Source organism: Homo sapiens, chromosome 2 (assembly GCF_000001405.40).
Source record: "Homo sapiens chromosome 2, GRCh38.p14 Primary Assembly".
NCBI classification, from domain to species: domain Eukaryota; kingdom Metazoa; phylum Chordata; class Mammalia; order Primates; family Hominidae; genus Homo; species Homo sapiens.
In genome coordinates, this window is record NC_000002.12 from 87,234,256 (window position 1) to 87,255,332 (window position 21,077).

Sequence of the window (21,077 nt, forward strand, 5' to 3'; positions counted from 1 at the left end):
CCAGGAGCTGCCCAAATTTTTTTTTGAAACGGAGTCTCACTCTGTCACCCAGGCTGCAGTGCAGTGGTGCGATCTTGGCTCACTGCAACCTCTGCTTCCCAGGTTCAAGTGATTCTCCTGCTTCAGCCTCCCAAGTAGCTGGGACTATAGGTGCCCGCCACCACACCCAGCTAATTTTTGTATTTTTAGTAGAGATGGGGTTTCCCCATGTTGGCCAGGCTGGTCTGGAACTCCTGACCTCAGGTGATGTGCCCACCTCGGCCTCCCAAAGTCCTGGGATTACAGGCGTGAGCCACTGTGCCCGACCTCCTGCCCAGATTTCTATTTTATTCTTGCACTCAGCTAACAGCCTGGCTGCCCAGAGGCAGGTACAACTTATTCAAGAGCAGGAGAATTCCAATTTTATTATTTAAAAAATCACATAATTAACTGAGTATTACAAGCTTTGAGATGTTTGTTGGTTAATAAAGATGAATGGGCTATTTGAGGTAATGGCTTTTAATTAAATGGAAGCTAATAACTTTGGTAAGTTTGTCCGAGTAGTAATCTTGGCTAACAGTTTGAAGTTTCGTACAATAATCTTGGCTAACAATTTGTAGCTTGCCTTGCACTGATTTCATAGCATTCATTGTTTACAACACGCAGAACACCCACTTTACAGATGGGAAAACGGAGGCTGAGGCTAAGGGCACAGGAAGGCTGTGGGGGGATTGCAGTCCACAGCAGCCCCGGGGGTCTCAAGGGCATATTCCTTTTAATCATGGCTTCCCACACAACATGCATCCCTAATTCTGTTCACCTGACCCCTGACTAAAGCTCAGCTTTAGGGCAGGAGATTTAAAATACAAACTCATTATATCTGCAGGTGTGGGCTGCAGGGAGGGCTTGGAGATGTAGAATCCTCCTTTGCTGCCATGTAGAGAGAGGAAAGACTGCATGCAGGCCCAGCTCTGCTACTCACGGCCTATACAACCCTGCACACTTTATCCCAGAGCTTAAATCTTTTCCCTTCTTGCAGCTCTTCTTCTGTTAAGGGACCTAGAGCAGGACATAATCATCTGTTCTTCTTATGGAGGGGCTAAGGAACAAGAAAAATGGTAAGGAGCAAAAAATGGGGCCAGGTCATTTGACAAGGAACCCTGGGAAATGCAAAAGTTGTATATTCTTTGCTGAGTTGGAGCATTAGTGACCTTTCTCTCTTTTCTTGTGAATTTACAGGAGTTGCAAAGGCCCAGCACCTCCCTGTGGCTTTTAAAACCAGGTATGTGGGCAATGCTCAGCAGAGACTGAGGACCATGGCCGGGGTGCCCTGCAGCCCTTTCATGCCGGGCAGCTGCAGCCTTTAATTTGGGGGCTATTGTGGTATTGTTGGTATTATTCAGGGTTTGGGCTTCAAGAGAACCTGTGATGATTTCTTTGTTATTTCACAGAAATTGGTCTGAACGGTTGGCATGTAATGCGGTGGCACTGGTTCTCCTGTGTTTGCCCAAAACCTTGCCAGGAGAACCAGGCAGTGGACGGGTGTGTGGTCAGTGTGGTGACCTGCAAACACCACTGTCCACACCTCATGCTCTTGCTCAAGAATTTTCCCAGGCTCCGTGCATGTGTAAATTTGCAAAAATAACAAAGCCAACCTTCATTGTTTGTTCTCTAAATAAGAAGAAGCTTCGTGGTTTGTGTTCGAGTGAAACAGCAAGGGAGAATTTTGATCCTGTGGAATCTGGCCAGACCTTACAGGGTTGAGGGGTCTCTGCACTCACATTTGCCGTGTTCCTGTCCCTCTGCCTCTCACCTTTGAATGCCTCCCTGGGGCAGATGCTCCCGGCTCCTACTCCTCGGATCCTTTGTGTAATTTCTCACAAATTTCTAGAGCTCACATGGACCTTCCTTTCATAGTCCAGGAACACACAGGGTTGATCCTCGAGGCCTGTGCCTCTCTCCGGGCACCCGTAACACCCTGCTCCATGTTTGCTTCACCTTGGAGTAATCACCTTGCACTCACCCCATTGTCTTTGGGGGCTTATGTTTTGTGGGTGATAGAGTGCATCATCTATGAGGTAAAATCTTTTATGTGTGTTTGCTTATTCCGGGATGCACTGGTGGCCAGGCTGTGCTCATTCTGGCTCACTGAGGGTGTGTTATCATCCTGCCATGGACCACCCTCTTCTAGAAGGAACAGAACATCAGGGTCTCCCTCCCAGCCCCCTGTTCCAGGTAACCACAGCGTACTGCAGGAACAAAGGTGTAGACTGAAAGTAAGTTAAAGGACAGGGCTGAGGCCTATAGACTGATTTTTCGGAGTAAGGAGGTGGGCCCTTTTGAAAATATTGAGATATAATTTATATAAGATAAAATTTACGGCTGGGCTAGGTGGCTCACACCTGTATTTCTAGCACTTTGGGAGGTCGAGGTGGGTGGATCACCTGAGGTCGGGAGTTTGAGACCAGCCCCACACAAAACCCTGTCTCTATTAAAAATACAAAAATTAGCCGGGCGTGGTGGCACGTGCCTGTAATCCCAGCTACTTGGGAGGCTGAGGCAGGAGAATTGCTTGAAGCCGGGAGGCAGAGGTTGCAGTGAGCCGAGATAGCGCCATTGCACTCCAGCCTGGGTGACAAGTGCGAGCGAAACTGCGTCTCCAAAAAAAAAAAAAAAAAAAAAAAAAAGATAAAATTTACCTATTTTAAGTGCACACAATGAATTTTGGTAACTGTATGCATTTGTATAACCACCCGACAATGAGATACAGAACACTTCATCACCCCCAATAGTTCCCTCAAGCCTCTTTGCAGTTTCTCCCCTCCCTTTGGCCTCAGCAACCAGTCTGTGAGTCTAGTTTTGCCTTTCTAGTCTTTCATGTTAATGGAATCAAGAAGTGTGTACTCTTTTATGTCTGGCTTCTTGCATTCAGCATATTTTGGAGCCTTGTCCGTGTCACTGTGTGATTTCTCTTTATTACTGAGTAGTAATGCATTGTACAGAGGTAGCACAATTTGGTTTTTCATTTACCAGTTGGTGAATATTCGAGTTGTTTCCAGTTTTGGGCAATTAGGAATAAAGTTGCTATAAACATTAATGTACAGGACTTTGTGGGGAGTTCTATTTTCATTTCTCTTTGGTTCATATTCAGGAGTGGGTTTGCTAGGTCACAGGATAGACATATGTTAAAACTTTGTAAGATACTGCAAAACTGTTTTCCAAGGTGGCTATACCATTTGTATTCAAAATCAACACTTTTAGCCTAGAGCATATAACTGGCCTTCCTGAAATCCATGGATATCTATCTGTGCAATGGTTTTAGAGACATTTTATTGCCTCCCACATGTAATTAAGTTACTTGGCTTTTAGGCAAAAGATGATACCATGTCTATGGATGAGATGACTCTAGTTTTGAACTCTGGGTTTTGCAGAAGAGTTTGCATTATCCTCCTCCTGAGGAAAGCAGATACATCCGCCACGATGCATGTGAGTCAGGTCTTCTGCGTGTCCTCTGAATCAGGTTCGCATGTGTGCCTCTAATGGCAGTTTCGAGTTCATCCTGTGTTGAGATAATGCCTGAAGGCGAGAGGAAAAAATATCTGTGGTTGTCAAATCGGGTGGAAAGTGATTAATCATGGAGACATTTACGGCATGCTGAACTGTTTCGTTTCCTGACCTTTGTCCCACGTGCGTTAGGGGCAGGCGGGGTCAAGTTTAAATCCAAGATGACAAGTGTCTGAGGCTAAGGAAGGTTTCTGCTGAATACTTGGCTTAGAGTCAATGGCTCCATGTTTCACACCTGGTGAAAACCGACTCGCAATTGAAAGAAACAGCATGGGAGTGTCAAACACTTGCTGACTTGGCCTTGGGCTAGAGCTTCTTGCGAGGGTTTTAGAACTGACACACCCTTTGGATGTGCTGGGGGCATCTGGTTTTTGGTGCCTGAGTCACAAATCCTGGAATACATTTGCCCACAGTGTTTCCATACCATTGGAAGTGCATTATGGCTGCTTCTCTTAGAGTCCTTTAACCTCTTCCTCAAGAGCCAGCTTTGTCAACTTGATGTATCTCATGGCAGGCATGGACTCATGCCTGTGTGTCCCATTGTATCCCCAGATCATGGGATTTGTGGGATTCAGCCAGTGTCATTTACTAATCACTAGGTCCAGGGCCAAGTTTAGGTGAGGTTCACTCCATCTAAGCTGTGTTTTGGGGGAGGGAGGGTCTCTATTTTTTCATTTAGAGAAGTGACTAGACACTAGAAAATGTCACAGAGTAAACGTATGGACTACAGCTTGTTTTCTGAAAAGGTTTAGGGATCCCGTGTTAGTATTGAAAGACCCTTTGAGGCCTCATCCCCTCCACCCAGTGGGCACACAGGCCTCTGACCTTCAGCGCCAAGTCTCCCTTGAGGTCAGCTTCTCTTCATCTTTCACTTCTTTTCTCTTCCTTTCACCCCTGCTGGTTGCAGCGACAAGGTCCCTGCCAACTGCGGTGTGCACACTGGCGGGCCTTCACCTCCCTTAAAATCCAGCTCTCGAAATGTCTGCAAGGGAGCAGCCTGCAATATTACCTAATTTGTCTTTAATCTGGTATTCCTAGAATAATCCAGAGAATAGAGTGGCCTACTGTACACACTGGATTACTCAATAAAGAACATGATGGGAAACGGCAGTATTTTTCTGTTTTAAAATAAGTAGGTTTGGAGGGAGCTGGGAAACTGCGGGCTTTAGTTACAAAATGACTATAATTGTGGGAGACGTATTTTCTTTGAATGTTGAAACACATTGGACAGGATATACAATTTAGAAATAATTTACAGTTAGAGAAAGGCCCTTTCATCTGAGAGGGGGCACATCTTCTGATTGGAAAGGATGGTCCCAGGGGATGAGGGATCGGGCCCCAGGTGAGCTTCATCTTTTTCTCTTCCAACTTCAGTGTGGCCAAACAGAGCGGAAAGTCATCACGTAGAAGGACAAAGTCTGTGTTTTTTTGTTTTTGTTTTTGTTTTCTCTCATGAGAGAAGCAGGCAAGTGCTGCCTGAGAAGGTGAAGGCTCACCTGTGGCAGGCTTGCTTCAAGCTGGCTGCAGACTGAAGGCCACCCAGAGGCTTTGGTCACCAAGGGTGGCATGATGGGTGGCCTTCTCCTTGCTCATGCAGCTCTCACCAGCAAATTTCTACTGAATGCCCACTCTGTGCAGGGTACTGTGCCAAGCACGAGGGATGCCAGGACCCGGAAGAAAGAACTCTGTTAGAGAACCACAGCTGATAGCTGCCAGTCAGCAGTAAAGGTTCAAAGCTTGGCCTGGCCAAGGAGCTATCACGGAGGGCTCTGTGGACCAGGGTCTTGTAGTGGGAGTGTGTCAGCAGAGTGGAGGGGTTGGAGGAGTGAGCCCAGGTATGCAGGGGTATGGATGGGCCGAGAGCCTTGGGCCTGGCCTGGCTGAAGGCTGTCCTGTTGAGGCACTGGCAAGTGGGCTTGGGAGGCAGACGGATGACCAGACACGGCCCCACAGAGATCAGCCCAAAGCGCTTGGACCCAGGGCATCTGGGATGGTTCTTGAGGTGAGCGCATGAAGCCTTGTTTTAGACACATACACTAGAGGACTCCAGCCTCCCTGCAAGCCCTCCTCCTCTCTCTCTCCTCACTGTTGAGGCGAGTGCTGTGTCTGCCTTAGATTCCTTCTGCAGGCTTCTGTCTGCCTGCCAGCAGATGCCTCTATGTCTGTCAGCCCTCAGAATGTCAGGCACATGCACTACCCACTGTGTGTGTGGGGTGTGTGTGTGTGTGAACATGTCAGATACCCACACAGGCTCTCCACTGTTCAGTGTGTCTCCAGTCTGGGACCTGGGGGTGGAAATAGTCACCGTCTACATCCATCTTCTTCTGCTTCTCTCTTAGGCATTTCCAATTCAACATACACCAGCCTGAACTCTTTATCCACATCCCTTTCCAGCATGCTCTTCCTCCAGCCCCTACTGACCCCATCACAGGAAAAAGCCATTCTGTTCTTCCAGTTACTCAGGGCGACAGCCTCGGAGTCATCATCGATGTCTTTTTCCTCTCACACCTGACACCTGACCTGTGGCCATCCTGTTGACTCTCCCCTTGAAATACATCCAGAATCCAGCCCCTTGTCCCCACTCCAGCACTCACAGTCACATTGCACCTGGTCTGGACCCCAGCAAGTGCTGCCCTGTGGGACTCCCTGCTTCTCCCCTTGCTCCACACTGTCTATTCTCTGTAGCCTTTAAGAACAACTCAGGTCATTTCACTGTCCTGCTCAAAACCATCAAATCGTTTCCCGTTTCCTTCAGAATGACATTCACAGTCCTTTCCGTCACAGCTCTGCGTGGCCTGTGGTGCCTCTGTATCCTCATCTCTGACTTAGTTTACTCCACCCCATTCTCCTCCTTCACCAGACTCCCAGGCACTCCTTCACGAGCAGCATGCACCTGCCCCAGAGCCTTGGCACCAGCTGCTTTCCCTACCCAGAACACTCTCCTTCCCACATCTTCACAGCCAGCTGTTTCATTCCCTCCAAGTCCCTTATCAGAGAGGCTTTTTCAGTCACTTTGAGTAAAACAGAAACCTACCTTTTCATCATTCTTGACCCCTTAACTAAACTTGCTTGAGTTTTTGTTGTTGTTGTTTGCTCGTTTTTTACTTATTACCACTTGACATCACTTTTGTGGGAATCCCCTTGCTTTTATGGAAATATGTAAGAGTAAAGAACTTCATCTTATTTTCCGATTATCCCCAGGTCCTAGAACAGTGCTGGCATTTGGAAGCTGTTCAGTATTTGCTGAATAAATGAAATGAATTATGCTGTGATTCACTGTGTGTTTGGAGGTGTTTGGAGGGACTGGCATGGGAGGATTGGATTCTACGGTGGTAATAGTGACATGGCATGATGAAGGCATGGAGTAGAGGGGCGGCCACAGAAATGCAAAGGAAGGATGACTGAGGGAGAGGCCTCTAGCTCGGTTGTTGCAGGACAGGGATGCTTGACTGGCAGTGCCTTGGATGACTCGTTATAAGAGCTGTACTCCAGACTCAGGATATGCTTTAACCATAGGTTTTCAGATTTCTCCTGGGGTCCAGTCAACTCCCATGCCAGTCCCTTGTTCCATGATCCCAGGCCCTGCTCCAATTCCTTAACTCTTATTCTGTAACCGTAACCCAAATGGCTAAGCCTGAGGTTGCAGGCTGACCTTTAGAGAAAAAGTTGAACTTTCTCTTTAAAGCTAAGTGGGAAAAAAACAATGACGGATAAAATGTAAAGATGTACAAAGGTACCAGTTTGTACCTGGGTGTTTGAATTTCTTTACATTTTGCTGTCAGTTGTACATGGCCATTTGAAATGAGTAATTTAATATTCTGCTGATTTTTAAATACATAGATCATTTTCATGGCACTACATAGTAAATCTGTGCTTTGCTTGTCTGCTATCTGTGTGTTTAGGTTCACACCAGTTCTGGTCGTGAAGCTATAGCTCAGGCATTATCATGGACTTCCTAGAAGCTGCCTTGCCAGCAAGGAGCCTAAGAGGTGTTCAGAAAAATTATCCAAAACTTGGAAATAAGGAAAGAGGATGACTCTATGTCCTTTAAAGTCCAGATCAGAGCATTGTCTATTAGATCCACTCAAGGATTATTTAAATCTCAAGGAGAATGTAACTTTGCTTCACATACTGTTTACTAGTAACTGGCTGCCTGTCAACTTGTGGGAGATAAGCTGGATACAATTTTGTCCAGTACAGATGCAAATGATTCCCTTCCCTTCCCTTCCCTTCCCTTCCCTTCCCTTCCCTTCCCTTCCCTTCCCTTCCCTTCCCTTCCCTTCCCTTCCCTCCCCTCCCCTCCCCTCCCCTCCCCTTCCCCTCCCTCCCTCCCTCATTCTCTCTTTCTTTTCTTTTCTCTCTTTCTTTCTTTCTTTCTTCTTTCTTTCTTTCCTTCCTTCCTTCCTTCCTTCCTTCTTTCTTTCTTTCTTTCTTTCTTTCTTTCTTTCTTTCTTTCTTCTTTCTTTCTTTCCTTCCTTTCTTTCTTTCTTTCTTTCTTTCTTTCTTTCTTTCTTTCTTTCTTTCTTTCTTTCTTCTTTCCTTCCTTCCTTCCTTCCTTCCTTCTTTCTTTCTTTCTTTCTTTCTTTCTTTCTTTCTTTCTTTCTTTCTTTCTGTCTTTCTTTCTGTCTGTCTGTCTCTCTGTCTCTCTCTCTCTCTCTCTCATTCTGTCTCTGTCTCATTCTGTCTCTGTCTCTCTCTCTCTCTCATTCTGTCACCCAGGCTAGAGTGCAGTGGCATGATCTCAGCTCATTGCAACCTCTGCCTTCCGGGTTCAAGTGATTCTCCTGCCTCAGCCTCCCAAGTAGCTGGGACCACTGGTGTGCACCACCACGCCTGGCTAATTTTTGTATTTTTAGTAGAGGTGGGGTTCTGTTATGTTGCCCAGGTTGGTCTTGAATTCCTGAGTTCAAGCAATCCACCCACTTTGGCCTCCCAAAGTGCTGGGATTATAGACATGAGCCACCGCATCCAGCCAGCTCTTTTATGTTTAAATCGGCCAAGCGTGATCGATTTCCTTCAGGTTCAAAAGATTACCCAAACATTACAGTTGTATTGTGCCATAGAACATTAACCAGTTTTGTATGTAACTTAGCAAACTTTTTTCAGCATTCTTTCTGACATACGATACATCTGTGTTCCTCAAATGCTTTGAGAATCAGCTTTTCCATCCTATGGGTTCCCTCAGTAATGAGTTAAAGAATTGTGCTTGCTACCTGTATGAGGGTATGAGAGCCAAGTTCCTAATATTTTGAAAATGATGTTTTGATGGAGGAGATAAAAAGTCTCCTGTGTTAGCTATATAAACCCAAACCTACAAAATGATGTCAAGTACCATAGAATGTATACAAAAGACATAACCTACTCCTCCCACCAATTTCTATTTTATTAGCATGCATTTCTCAGGAAAGACTGTTCAAAAGGTAAGGAGAGAATACCATTCTACCATTCTGCCAATTCAAGTTAGACCAGCTATTTCTCTTTGCTTATTCACTTCCTGTTTTCTCTTAATAAATTTATTTAAAGACAATTTATTAGAGAAAAAGTTGTCTTACAAATGCGAATTGTAAGTTGTCTTACTGATGTGATCCAGCAATCCGTCCTGGCCGGCACCCTGCCAGGTCTGTAATTAAGACTGGGGGTTTGCTCTGCAAGGACACATTCTCCACCTTTGTCTGGGGGGCTCTGTACTCAGTCTTGCGGTTTGTCTGTGGAGCTGAGGTGCTGGTTGGGAATCAGGAGACGTCAGTTCCGGTCTCAGCAAAGCTGCTGCGAGGTGCGGGGCAGAGGCCTGGTTTACCTGGTATACCACATGCCCTTGACTTCCCTGTGGTAGGTGCCCCTGATTCCGCTCCAGCTCTTGCTTTGCATGTAATTTACACTGAGGTTGCAAACAACTGCTTATTCCTGTGGGACTTAGTTTTTTCCTTAGGGCCAATCTGAAAAACTTACCTCCTTAGTTACATCCTACGGATTTGCAGACAAATAGGGGAAAGAAATGGAAGAAATAAGGGAAAATGTTATCCAAAGTTGGAAATAATAGAAGATTACTCTATGTGCTTTCGATGTCATACTAGAAGAAGCCGCTTTAAGTAGCACCATTATTCTGAATGGAGAAATCTGTGGTTGCTTTAGTCATGGAGACTACATCACAACTAGGGTTTTCCTTTTATTTTTGAGATGTGTGTGATGGGGGAGGATAGGGGTACAGCATTCTAGAAATGGCCTCATTTTGCATTTCCTTAGGTCCAAAGTTAAAATAACTTTCTGTTCTAAGAAGCTTTAAAAGTGGTTCATGGACCAGGCACGGTGGCTCACGCCTGTAATCCCAGCACTTTGGGAGGCTGAGGTGGGCGTATCACCTGAGGTCCAGAGATTGAGACCATCCTGGCCAACATGGTGAAACCCCATCTCTACTAAAAATACAAAAAAATTTGCTGGGCATGGTGGCGTGTGCCTGTAGTCCCTGCTACTTGGGAGGCTGAGGCAGGAGAATTGTTTCAACCCAGGAGGCAGAGGTTGTAGTGAGCCAAGATCCTGCCACTTCACTCCAGCCTGGTGACAGAACTAGACTCAGTCTCAAAATAAAGTGGTTCATTTCTTTCTAAAATCATTAATTGAACATTAAAAAACATTGGTAAGAAAAATTGAACCAAGAAGGTTTTGGGTTATACTGTAGGTCAGTGAGCTTTAAGTTTCTGTGTCTCTGAAGCTACATGGCTGGACGATAGCTGAAGTCAGTGCCCCGAGTGAAGCCTGAAGAGGAGCTGATGGATTTTTCTGGTGGGGAAGGCCTGTGACTGCACTCAGAGAGAGCTGGGCCAGGCGGGGTGAGGCACGGTCACTCTGAGTTCACAGACCCACTCTGATCCTTGAATGGGTCTGTCCTGAAATAATGGGGAATCCTGGAACATGCTGCTTTGTGTAGACGCCTTTCTCCTTTGCAACTTTTAAAGGTATTTGTCCCCTGGGTTTCATTTGAAATGCTTTTTTCTTCTTCTTCTTTTTTTTTTTTGCCAGATGCTTTCACTAGGAGCAGTATCCAGAAAGCTATGTTTCTAACCTACCTTGTTGTTTGCCTCTTGGGCAAATGGGTTTGTTTACCTTATTGACTCAGTTCAGTGGAAAATATTACCCTGATTGGGATGGAGATGGGGCTGCTGTTCTGAAATAACTACGCAAGTTTACCTGTTCAGGTGGGACACAGCTTCTTGTGTTAGTCACGGATGAATTTTGAAAATTTATACATAGTGCAATAAATGCTGGTTTCTTTCCCCTTCCTCACTCCTTCCTGGGGCCTATATGTGTGTATCTCTAACACACATACACACACACGCAGGCACACACACACTCATACACATGCACACTCACACACAAGAGGATACGTTGCATATACAGCTCAATGCTACAAAGAAGCCCTTTTACCAGAAGAGCACACGGGAACTCCGCTGAAGTTTGACAGGGTGATTGTCTTGTGGCTACTCTACCCTGAGGCCAGAGCACAGTGAGGGCCTCCCTCCTGCCCCCAGCCACACCAAAGAGGGGGCAGGGGTTCACAGGGAGCAAAAGAGGAGCTTTTTGCCATCACCATGAGACGGTGACCACAGGGGCCTGGCTCGAAGGTGAGGGTGGGGCTGGTGACTGGTGCCTGTGGATTCCAGAGTGGTTGGCCTACACAGCCTACTGAGAGGTAGAGCACGGTCCTTTGCGTCCCTGTGGACTCCGAGTGCCTGCCATGGTTTGGAAGGTCCACTGAAGGCTGAGTGCTCAGCGGCGTTGCCAGCCAGCTGGATGCATGTAAACAGCATTGTGAATGGAGAACATTCTTTCACCTTATTCTTGCACATTCTTCTCCCCTACTTAGCTTCTTATCCTTCCTATCTACTCATCTAGCTAGCAATCCCTAAAATTAAATCATTTATAAATGAGTCCGATGAGGGTCTTTTTTTGAAAACTGGATTTAGTGAATAAGGCAGACCCCTGTTTTTGGATAGGGCTTTGCCTCTTGTTATTAAGGAGGAATAACTTGTTCCCAACTTGGTTGGTGACCCCAGCTGAGGAGGAACAAGTGGCAGATGAGTCCCAGGGAAGACCCCTAGGGGGAATGGCTGGAGGTAGCTGTATCAGGGATGAAAAGGGTGGGGGTGGTGATGAGGGGAACGCAGCCCTTCATGCAAAGAAGTGGGTGTTTGAAATCAGTGGGTGACTATTTTTTTGGCAATGTGGGCTCCTTAGGTCATACACAGTGGCCTTAGAAAGCCAGCCCTGCCTCTCTTCCCTCAACTGATGGTGGATTTGTGTAATGAGATCACCGTCTTCTTGAAAAACACTTCCAGGGTAGCTCATTACAAAGCCTCGCACAGTGTTCGGAGCAGGGCGAGCTGCAAGGCCCCGGGCTTTCCATTCTGAAAGAGCTGTGGGTGTCGGGGTGGCTGCCAGCTGTGAGAGCTCCGTGGGTGGGGACTCTGTCCCTCAAAGCCACGCACTCAGGCTTGCCCATTCTAGTGTCTCTGTGGGAGACAATCAATGTAATTTACTCTATTAATGGAATGAAGGATTACAATAATAAAATCTTTTTCAAGGAATGCAAAAAAGCATTTATCAAAATTCAATATCCATTCATGGTAAAAACTCTCAGCAAACTAGGAACAGTAGGAAACTTCCTTAAAATAATAAAGGCATTTACAAAATTCCTGCAGGTTGCATCATGCTTAATGGTGAAAGCCTGAACTATCTCCTAAACCCATTTACTCCTCCTCAGGGAAGACTTCCCTGACCCCATGTTTAAGTCAAACACTCATTATACATTCCCTTAGGACCAGCCTCTCATCCAAAGAAGTGATCATAAATGCAATTTAAAATGTATTTGTGGTTGGGCGCGGTGGCTCATGCCTGTAACCCAGCACTTTGGGAGGCCGAGGCAGGTGGATTTCTTGAGGTCAGGAGTTCAAGACCAGCCTGGACAACATGGTGAAACCCCATCTCTACTAAAAATACAAAAATCAGTTGGGTATAGTGGTGCGTGCCTGTAATCTCAGCTACCTGGGAGGCCAAGGTGGAAGGATCACTTGAGTCTGGGAGGTGGAGGCTGCAGTTAGCCAAGATCGTCCCACTGCACTCCAGCCTGGGTGACAGAGTGAGACTTCGTCTAAAAAAAAAAATTATTTCTGCCACTATTTGCTTAATGTTTGTTTTCTGGTGTAGGCATTCAGCTCTGTGAATAAAAGCATTCTGCTGATTTCTGCTGCCCTGTATCCAGACGGAAGGAATGGGTGAGTGAATGACAGGCACCTGTTCTGTTTACAGTCAGTAAAGTAAACACAACACTACACGTATGAACTCCACCGGAAAGATGAACACTTATGGTATATTTGGTGCCACTGTCCCAGGGAGAGTAGAAGTACAGGGTTTTGTTCTTCTGACTTGAGAAATTTTTGTGCTAGAAGGGCCACTGAGGGTCATCCAGGCCTATCACTGCCCACCCCAAATTTATAGGTGAGGTCACTAGGGCCTGAGATCTGAAGCATGCATGACATCCCGAATGAACTACAAATCCTAGGTCAGAGTTAACAGTAGTGGTAACTGCACAGGATGAGTTGGTGCAGGGTGACAAGCTCATGCGTGGTAGCTATTTTGAATCAATACCCCGTAACTAACCTCTGCTGTTTGAAACACCTGGCAGAGTGCTGCAACTCACCCTTGGGCAAAGCCCCACTCTCTGAGGCTGTGGTGGGGTTCAGGGAATACTACCCCAAAATATGGCAGATTGGCATTGGAGAAAACGGCAGAAGCAGGAAGGCCTCTCTCACCTTCTCCTTGCCCTTCTTTTCCTGAAGCAGGCCATGAAACCAAGCTGACTTTCTCCTGGAGCAAGGCATAAGGTCCTTGTGTGAGAGGTGCCCACTCTTTACCTGGAGGGGAGGAACATCTTTATCTCTGAAGACACAGGGACGCAGAAGAAAAGCTGAACAAACAGGCCTTGCTGAGTTCCCCCTTGTATATAACTAATTAGATCATACTCCCTTTGTCCAATCACACTTCTCCACTACTGTCGACTTCTCCATCAAACTTACAATAAAAACACACAGGTGTCCCTATTCCCTATTTCTTTATCTTTTTCTTTCTTTCTTTCTTTCTTTTTTTTTTTTTAAGATGGAGTCTTGTTCTGTCACCCAGGCTGGAGTGCAATGGCGTGATCTTGGCTCGCTGCAACCTCTGCCTTCTGGGCTCCAGCAATTCTCCCACCATAGCCTCCCGAGTAGCTGGGATTACAGGTGCCCGCCATCATACCCGGCTAATTTTTAAATTTTTGTAGAGACGGTGTTTCACCATGTTGGCCAGGCTGGTCTCAAATTCCTGACCTCACGTGATCCACCTGCCTCAGTCTCCTAAAGTGCTGGGATTGCATGCATGAGCCACTGTGCCCAGCCTCTTTGGATCTTTTTTCCTGAGGTGTCTTATGTTACATAAAATTTAAATTAAATAAGTTTGATGTTTCTCTTGTTAATCTGTATTTTGCCATAGGTGCCTCAGCTATGACCCTCGTAATGGGTGAGGAAAAAACACATTTTCTTCCCTGCAGCTGCTTGGCCACCTGCCTTTTGCTTGGATTGGCAGAAATCTGGCTTAATCTGGCTTCTCCAGTCCTCCATCACCTGGCCAGGAGGTAGCCCTTGGTCTAACCCCTTCTCATGTTTGGAAGCAGACTTTCCCTTTCTTTCTAAGGACTGGTAGGCAGCTCCTCATGGATGGAGTGATAACTCCAGAATGTCTTCGTGTGATGGCTGTTGGAGTGGGAAGTGGGCTGGGAGGCTGTGCTGGCATAGACTTTGTGTAGGATTGAGAAGACAATAACTGCCAGTGTGAAGATCAGGCGGGAGTTGGGAAGACAGCTGAGAGTGGCCAAGGGGAAGCCAGAGCCTCTTCAAGTCATCTCTAGATGGGTGTGAAAGGGAGAGAAGAGGCCAAGAAACCATGAGATTAAAAGGTGGAGGTGGGGGCATAGAGATCCCAGCTGCTCTAGGGGACCCTCCCAGGCAAGTGCTGTGTGTGTATGCTCCTCCACTGTTCCTTCTGCAATGCATTCCATCTGGCTGCTAGATACGGTAAAGGGAATGAAAGGTGGGAAAGGCAAAGGGTGCATTTAATCCACTCTTCAGCTGTGAATTCTCTAGAGGAGAGCTAGTCCTTGTGTTTGTTGATGCAGCTGCCTCTCTCCTGAGACCTGTAAAATGACTTTTTTTTTTAAAGGTAAAATCATGACTCTTACACAAATGTAAAATGAACACATGTCAAAGATTTTATTTAGTTCATTAATTAATGAGGGAACCAGTAAGATGCTACAACCAGCCCAAAGGAGAATTAAAAATGCCACGCATAGCTAGGACAATAGGAATGCTGACATAGAATTTACAAATAGATGCAAAATTGATGATAGCCACTGGACAGTCTGTCCACATGTCCATGGACAAGGATAGTTGGCATTCCATGGGTCTTTTACAACTTGCAAACCGAGGAAAGTTTAGGTCCTCCTTTTTCCTTGCTGACCTTTCATGGGTCAGCCCTCATCTGGACATCAACACTCCTGAGACATGTGGTCACTGCAATAATTGACTGAAATCAGTAAAGACACAATTTCTCCCTCTGCTGCTCCGTGTTCCTGTCTAGAGAGTTGTTTTCCTCTCCAAGTAAAAGTTGTTAAAGAGCTTAAAGACAATGAAGGGCAGAGAGAGCCAGGATGTGAAGACTTTTCTGCTGTACTGTCTTTCACAGATCCATGTTGCAGCTGGGAGCACGGGGAAACCTGGACACGCACTTCACCAAAATGAGACAACTGTGGCAGGAGACAGGCTAAGGCGAGTGGGGACAAATCAATGTGCTGGATGCCCTGGTGTACCTGTGACGAAGAAGCAGGAGCTGGGAAGAGAGAGGAAAAGGAAATAGACAAGTGAATAAATAAATAAGAGTTCAGAAACCCCGTCTCCACCAAAAATACAAGAAATTAGGTGGGCATGGTGCTGGCGCCTGTAGTCCCAGCTATTCGGGAGGCTGAGGCAGGAGAATGACGTGAACCCAGGAGGTGGAGCTTGCAGTGAGCCGAGATTGTGCCACTGCACTCCAGCCTGGGTGACAGAGCAAGACTCCATCTCAAAAAAAAGAGTTCAAAGGAAGTGTAGAAGAGTTGAGAGAAGAACTCTATTTGCACATTCACTCTTCAGTTCATTTCCTCATTCATTTTCTGAACAGTGAATCTGGCTCTGTGCTGGATCCTGGAGCATAAAGACTAAATTAGCTGCACAAAGACCCTGATCACTAACATCCTAGTGGGAAAGACACACTGTGTATTAAGCTGAGTAATCACCACCTTCCCACCATGTCTGTATCCTGATCCCTGGAACATGTGAATATTATCGTATATGGCAAAATGGACTTTGTAGATGTGATTAAGTTCAGGATCTTGAGTTGGAGAGATTACTCTGCATTGGCCTAATGTAATCACAGGGGTTTTCATAAGGAGGAGGCAGGTGATCAGCATAGGAGAAGGCAATGTGATTATGGAAGTAAATGTGGGAGTGATGCAGCTACAAACTGAGGAAAGCTGGCAGCTCTGGAAACTGGAAGAGGCAAGGGACAGATTCTCTGCTGGAGCCTTCCAAAGGAGCCAACCCTCTGACACCTTGCTTTCAGCCTTGAAAGACACATTTTGGACTTCTGACCACCAGGACTGTAAGAGAATAGATTTGTGTTGTTTGAAGCCACTGAGTTTGTGGTAATTGCTATAGGAGTCATAGGAAACTAACATATATGCTGAACAATTGCATGGTCGCATGATTGCAATGTAGAGTGTTTTGAGGAAGGAAATTAAGGCAGCTGGGGAGCTGATGACAGGTGTCCTGGAGGAGGAGGTTTCCTGTGGAGAGCTGAGGGCTTTGAAGGAGGCCACCCATGGTGGTGGATTGGGGACGTGGCAGTTTCAAAGCATACACCATGTGAAGGAAGGACCCTGCAGAAGTCCCAAATCAATGTTTTCTTGCTTATCCCTGGTGGATGATGGAGGCTGGTGGCAGGGGCATTAATGTGTGGCCATGGTGGTCTGTGTGATACGGTGAAAATGCAAAGGAGATGAACTCCCAAGACTTTTGGGAGACATTTATAGGAAGATGGGTGCTAAATAAATCCAAGGCAGTCTTTTCAGACAGAGGGCTTGATACCACTAATTAGGCAGCTTGGATGAGTGGCACCATGGAACTGGCTGGTGGTTTTCTTGTGAAAATAGACACAAACTCCCTTCTCTCCATGTTCTTAGAAGATGTGAATTTAGAGGTCTCCACATTGCCTGACAAAGTCTGTTTTAACTGGGTAAAATAAAAAAAAAATTACCATTGTATTGCTCCTGAACCTTGCTTAAAATTCCCTTTAAAGATCTACAAAGGGTTTTGCTCATTTGTACAATCTTAAAGGTCACAAAATTAGAAGCTTAGCAGCCACATGCCAACTGCACACAGCATTTGAAATCTTTGACACAGACCGTTCCAGAAGTCACAACTGGCAAAGCTGCACTTCTTGTGACACTCAGTAGCCTGCACACCCATCTCCTGGCTTGTAAGCATATGCCTTTTTGTCCAGCCAGCTGAGGTACTTGGTTCCTGATTGTTTTCTTGTTTGTTTTTTAATGCTCAGATATTCTCATGTGGTGAATATTTGTGAGCCAAATTACTTGGCAGGAGCGTTTGATGCCATGGCCAAATGGGGAGCCCAGAGTCAGCATCTTTTTAAAGCTAACTCTTACTTGCCAGCTCCTCTTTCTGCCCACATACTCGCCCCGTACCAGGCCCAGTGGCTGTTGCACAGACAAACACCAAGCAGTCCTGCAAACCCCATTTGCTTCCTTCTGGGCTTGATGCTGCCTGGGAGTGGGCTTCTCCCTGGGTGGTATGTAGGAGTTTTCCTTACATTTTCATTTCTTATCAGCTTACCATTTGCAACTGATGCAGGACAGGCAAGACCCCAAACTGGGGCTTAGCCCAGGAGGATTCTTGGCTTTGCCCAGGAGAGAATTCAAGCACAAGTGGTGGTGTTAGACAGCAACTTTTATTGAGGCAGCAGCAGCTGTACTGCTCCCTGTGGAGCAGGGCTACCCCACAGGCAGTGTGCCCAGAGTAGCAGCTCAGGGACAGTTCAGCAGTCATATTTGTACCCACTTTTAATTACATGCAAGTTAAAAGGCAGTTGATGCAGGCATTTCTAGGAAAAAGGTGGTAACTTCCGGGTCATTGGGTTACTGCCATAGAAAGGGGTGGTAACTCTCAGGTGTTGCCACGGCGATGGTAAACTGACATGGCACACTGGTGGGCATGTCTTATGGAAAGCTACTTCTGCCCTGGCCCTGTTTCAGCTAGCTCTCAATTTGGTCCAGTGTCTGAGCCCAGCCTCTGGAGTTGAGTCCCGCCCCCTACCTCACTATCTTGGTTCTATTTGGAGATGCCCTGAAAGGCTGTGTCCAGTCCCACAGTGAGTGAGGAATCTATGCTGAGGTTCCTTTGGAGGTGAATTTTGAATGACGTATAACCCAGTACAGAGGAAAAGTCCAGAACTGAGGGATGCAGGCTAATATTAAAGACTCATAGTTTTGGGGGCTGTCTGTCCAAAGGCTCATGCATGGGCAGAAAGAGTTCACCTGACCTGTGCTGTGGGAAGTTTGCTGTAAACATTCTGATAAACATTTAACTTTAGTCCCTTTCAGTACCAGTGCCATGCCCTGCAGTGTTCACTAAGCGCCCACAGGCATCTGCTCTCTGTGACCTGCTCATATGACGAGCTAAAGTCGAGCATGCTTCATTCACAGCCAGGCCTCCTCCTTCTTTGTTGGCCTGAGTGTGTTGCTGACCATTCATGGGTCAGCCCCGACCTGGACATCAACACTCCTGAGAAATGTGGCAACTGCAATAATTGACTGAAATCAGTCTCTCCCTGTTTGCTGGTCCATGTTCTTGTCTAGAGAGTTGTTTTCTTCTCCAAGAATAAGAAGGTGGAATCGATTTTTCCACCTTTTGTTCCCCTCACCCCAGTGATGATGAGGCACCAGGAGGGAATTTTCTGACTTTCTGCAGGCATTTATGTTCTGCTTCACATCATCATATTTATTCCTTTAATGTAGGAGAACCTTAAATGAAGCTTGTTGGAAATAGGCCATCCTCCATAACCTGGGTTTGTTGGAGCCCATGTATAGAAATGATTTCTTGGCAACTCTAGTTCTCTTGAGCATGTGTGCTATGGTTAAAGAGGCAGAAGGGCACAAGAATTTTAGCACCCTGAGGACTGAAAACCTTCCATAGAACCAGCATACATATTGTTTTATAAATAAGGAGTATTCTTGGGGTATAGTTGTTTGCAAAGAAAGGGAGCTCCTTAAGATTTATGACCCAGCTCACAATAACCAGATGACCTGAATCAAGGGTGTATGTCAGGAACAGGATCCTGGAGGGGTCAATGACAGTGTCCATCTGTGGCCTCAAAGAGCCCGTTCCCAACTCTCCTGCCTTTTGACAGAAGGTCTGTCTGGTTATGGCTTTAGGAAGATAGATGACTTCTGTATAGTCACAGGAAGAGTCTGCGTGCCTGGAGCTGTGGGCTGGAAAGGAGGTGAGAGATGCTGGCCTCTCCAAGGCCTCGTCCACGTGCCCCATCTCCAGACAGGAGCAGCCAGGGCTCCGTTAGGCTGCAAACAATGGAAAACCTGAATAGCAGAGGCTTAAAAAACATGTGGTTTGCTTGTCTCACCTGAAAGAAGTCTGAAATTGGGAAGTCCAGGGCTGGGTCAGAGGTTCAGAGATGCTGGGGTTGAGGCCTAGATGGCTTTTTGGCCTTTTCCCCAGGAAAAAACAGAATCAATCAGAAGGTGGCTGATGTAGGTCAGGTGGGCTGGGGCTGGAGGGGATGGTAGGCTGTGAGTCTGGCGCTCCCTCTTGCTGGTGTGGGGATGGGTACCAGGAGGGCTTCTCTCCTCCACCTTGCTCTGTTGCTCTGTTGCTCTGTTGCCCAGGCACCCATTGCCAAGAAGCCAGACTGGAATTCCCAATGGGATGGGGCAGTCCCAAGGCACATGGAATCTTTGGTGGGACTTATACACCCTGTACTCCTGTGAGCTCCTCAGTCACTCTGGTCAAAAACTCTAATATTGTTCCTTTTAACACAGTCATCACCCAAAACCCTGTTAAACACCCAAATGCACCTGGGGCAACCCTTGACCTTATGGAGCCCACTTTCTTTGCAAACAACACAGATGTTGAGATGAAGCAGGAAGGAGTGGTTACATAGGAGGATCCAGAATCCCCAACCCCAGGGAGTTCGATATGGGAAAAATGCCTCTGAGTAGGGCGGAGGGATGCTCAGAGGGCTGCAGGGTCCTGGGAAGTGGCTGTGTCTCAAAGTGTGCTCCATATTCATACCCGTCTTTCCCCACTGCTTTTATTTGCTTCGCTTTTGAATCTGTGATTCACCTTCTTTGGTCTCACCTCTTCCTCGGGCCCTTTGGTTAAGGGCAGGCTGATTACTGCATATGGCTGTGCCCCAGCCCTCTGCTTTACCCAGCGATTAAGGAGAAGCCCACACCAATTCAACAAGGCTTGCATTTTAGGAGCAGACAAAAATCTTAGACCCAGAAGCCAGGTGTGCAGAAAATGCATGTTGGCTTCCCTTTAGCGTTATCTAATTTCCCAGGCTCAATTCTGTCTGGGTAAAGGAACATTATTCTTGGTTAGCTGAAGTCCCCTGCTTTTCCTGCAGATGTGTCTGATGCTGGGGGCTGGCATTGCTCCCCTTGGGGGCTGGGAGATGCTCTCCTTTCTGGTCTTTGGTTGTCAGAGCCTGCTGTTCACTGCTGTTGTCTCTTGTTCTGACTCCACCCCAGCTCTGCTTCAATCCTACTCTCTCCAGGCCACAGCCACCCACTGGGACCTCCCATGAAGCTCTTGGGAGCTCTCACCCATCCTGGAGGGAGCCCATGTAAATTTGGGCCTGGCTTGTTGATTCTGAATCACCAAATAGGCATTTGCGCAGCCTGCCTCTCCAAGGGAACTTCAGGGTTTTGCTGCCACTCTGGACTTTGTCTGAGGCTATCTTTCTGCACAAACTGCACAAAGTGGGGATGAAGCCCACTTCATGGGCACAGGCCCTTCCCAGGACACTGCAGCCTCTCCATACCCCTCCCCCCTACTCAGGAGGCCTCTGTGCTGCTGAGGCCAAAGATTTGCTTTGAAAGGCCAAATATTCTTCCTGAGCCCTGGTCTTAACCCGGGGCTGAAGCTTTGCTCTCAAAGGTAAAGGTGAAGACCTCCATTTTCCTCTGCTCTCTGCAAATTGCCTTTGGCTGAAGCAGGGAACAGGAAATGAATGACCAAGTTATGTGGCCTGGGAGAGGGAGAAGAGCCCAGTCAACAGCTCAAGAAATCCCGCCATGTCTACTTAAGGGGAAGAAGAGAGAAAGGAGGATAAAGAGAGATTTTTTTTCCTTTTAATATAATGCACATTAAATTTTA

General features: G+C 46.7%; 2 long non-coding RNA genes across 2 annotated transcripts, besides 1 other annotated feature; one reads left to right on the forward strand and one right to left on the reverse strand.

The window, feature by feature from the left end:
* Window positions 1–957: 957 nt before the first annotated feature.
* LOC107985771 (uncharacterized) lies at window positions 958–13,647 on the forward strand. Its single transcript, XR_001739109.1, has 3 exons — window positions 958–1,097; window positions 1,219–1,261; window positions 12,745–13,647. It is a non-coding gene; the product is annotated as an uncharacterized LOC107985771 (long non-coding RNA).
* Window positions 2,290–2,477: a silencer, noted in NCBI's record as "fragment chr2:87463668-87463855 (GRCh37/hg19 assembly coordinates)". NCBI's record gives its function as "represses an EF-1alpha promoter that drives an FKBP-Casp9 reporter gene in an ReSE screen in K562 erythroleukemia cells {active_cell/tissue: K562}" and the evidence as "EXISTENCE:reporter gene assay evidence [ECO:0000049][PMID:32094911]".
* A 1,169-nt stretch (window positions 13,648–14,816) lies between the features above and the next one.
* On the reverse strand, window positions 14,817–19,736 carry LINC01955 (long intergenic non-protein coding RNA 1955). The gene is made up of 2 exons (XR_940323.4): window positions 19,321–19,736; window positions 14,817–15,456 (listed from the first exon to the last, which is right to left on the reverse strand). It is a non-coding gene; the product is annotated as a long intergenic non-protein coding RNA 1955 (long non-coding RNA).
* Window positions 19,737–21,077: the final 1,341 nt, after the last annotated feature.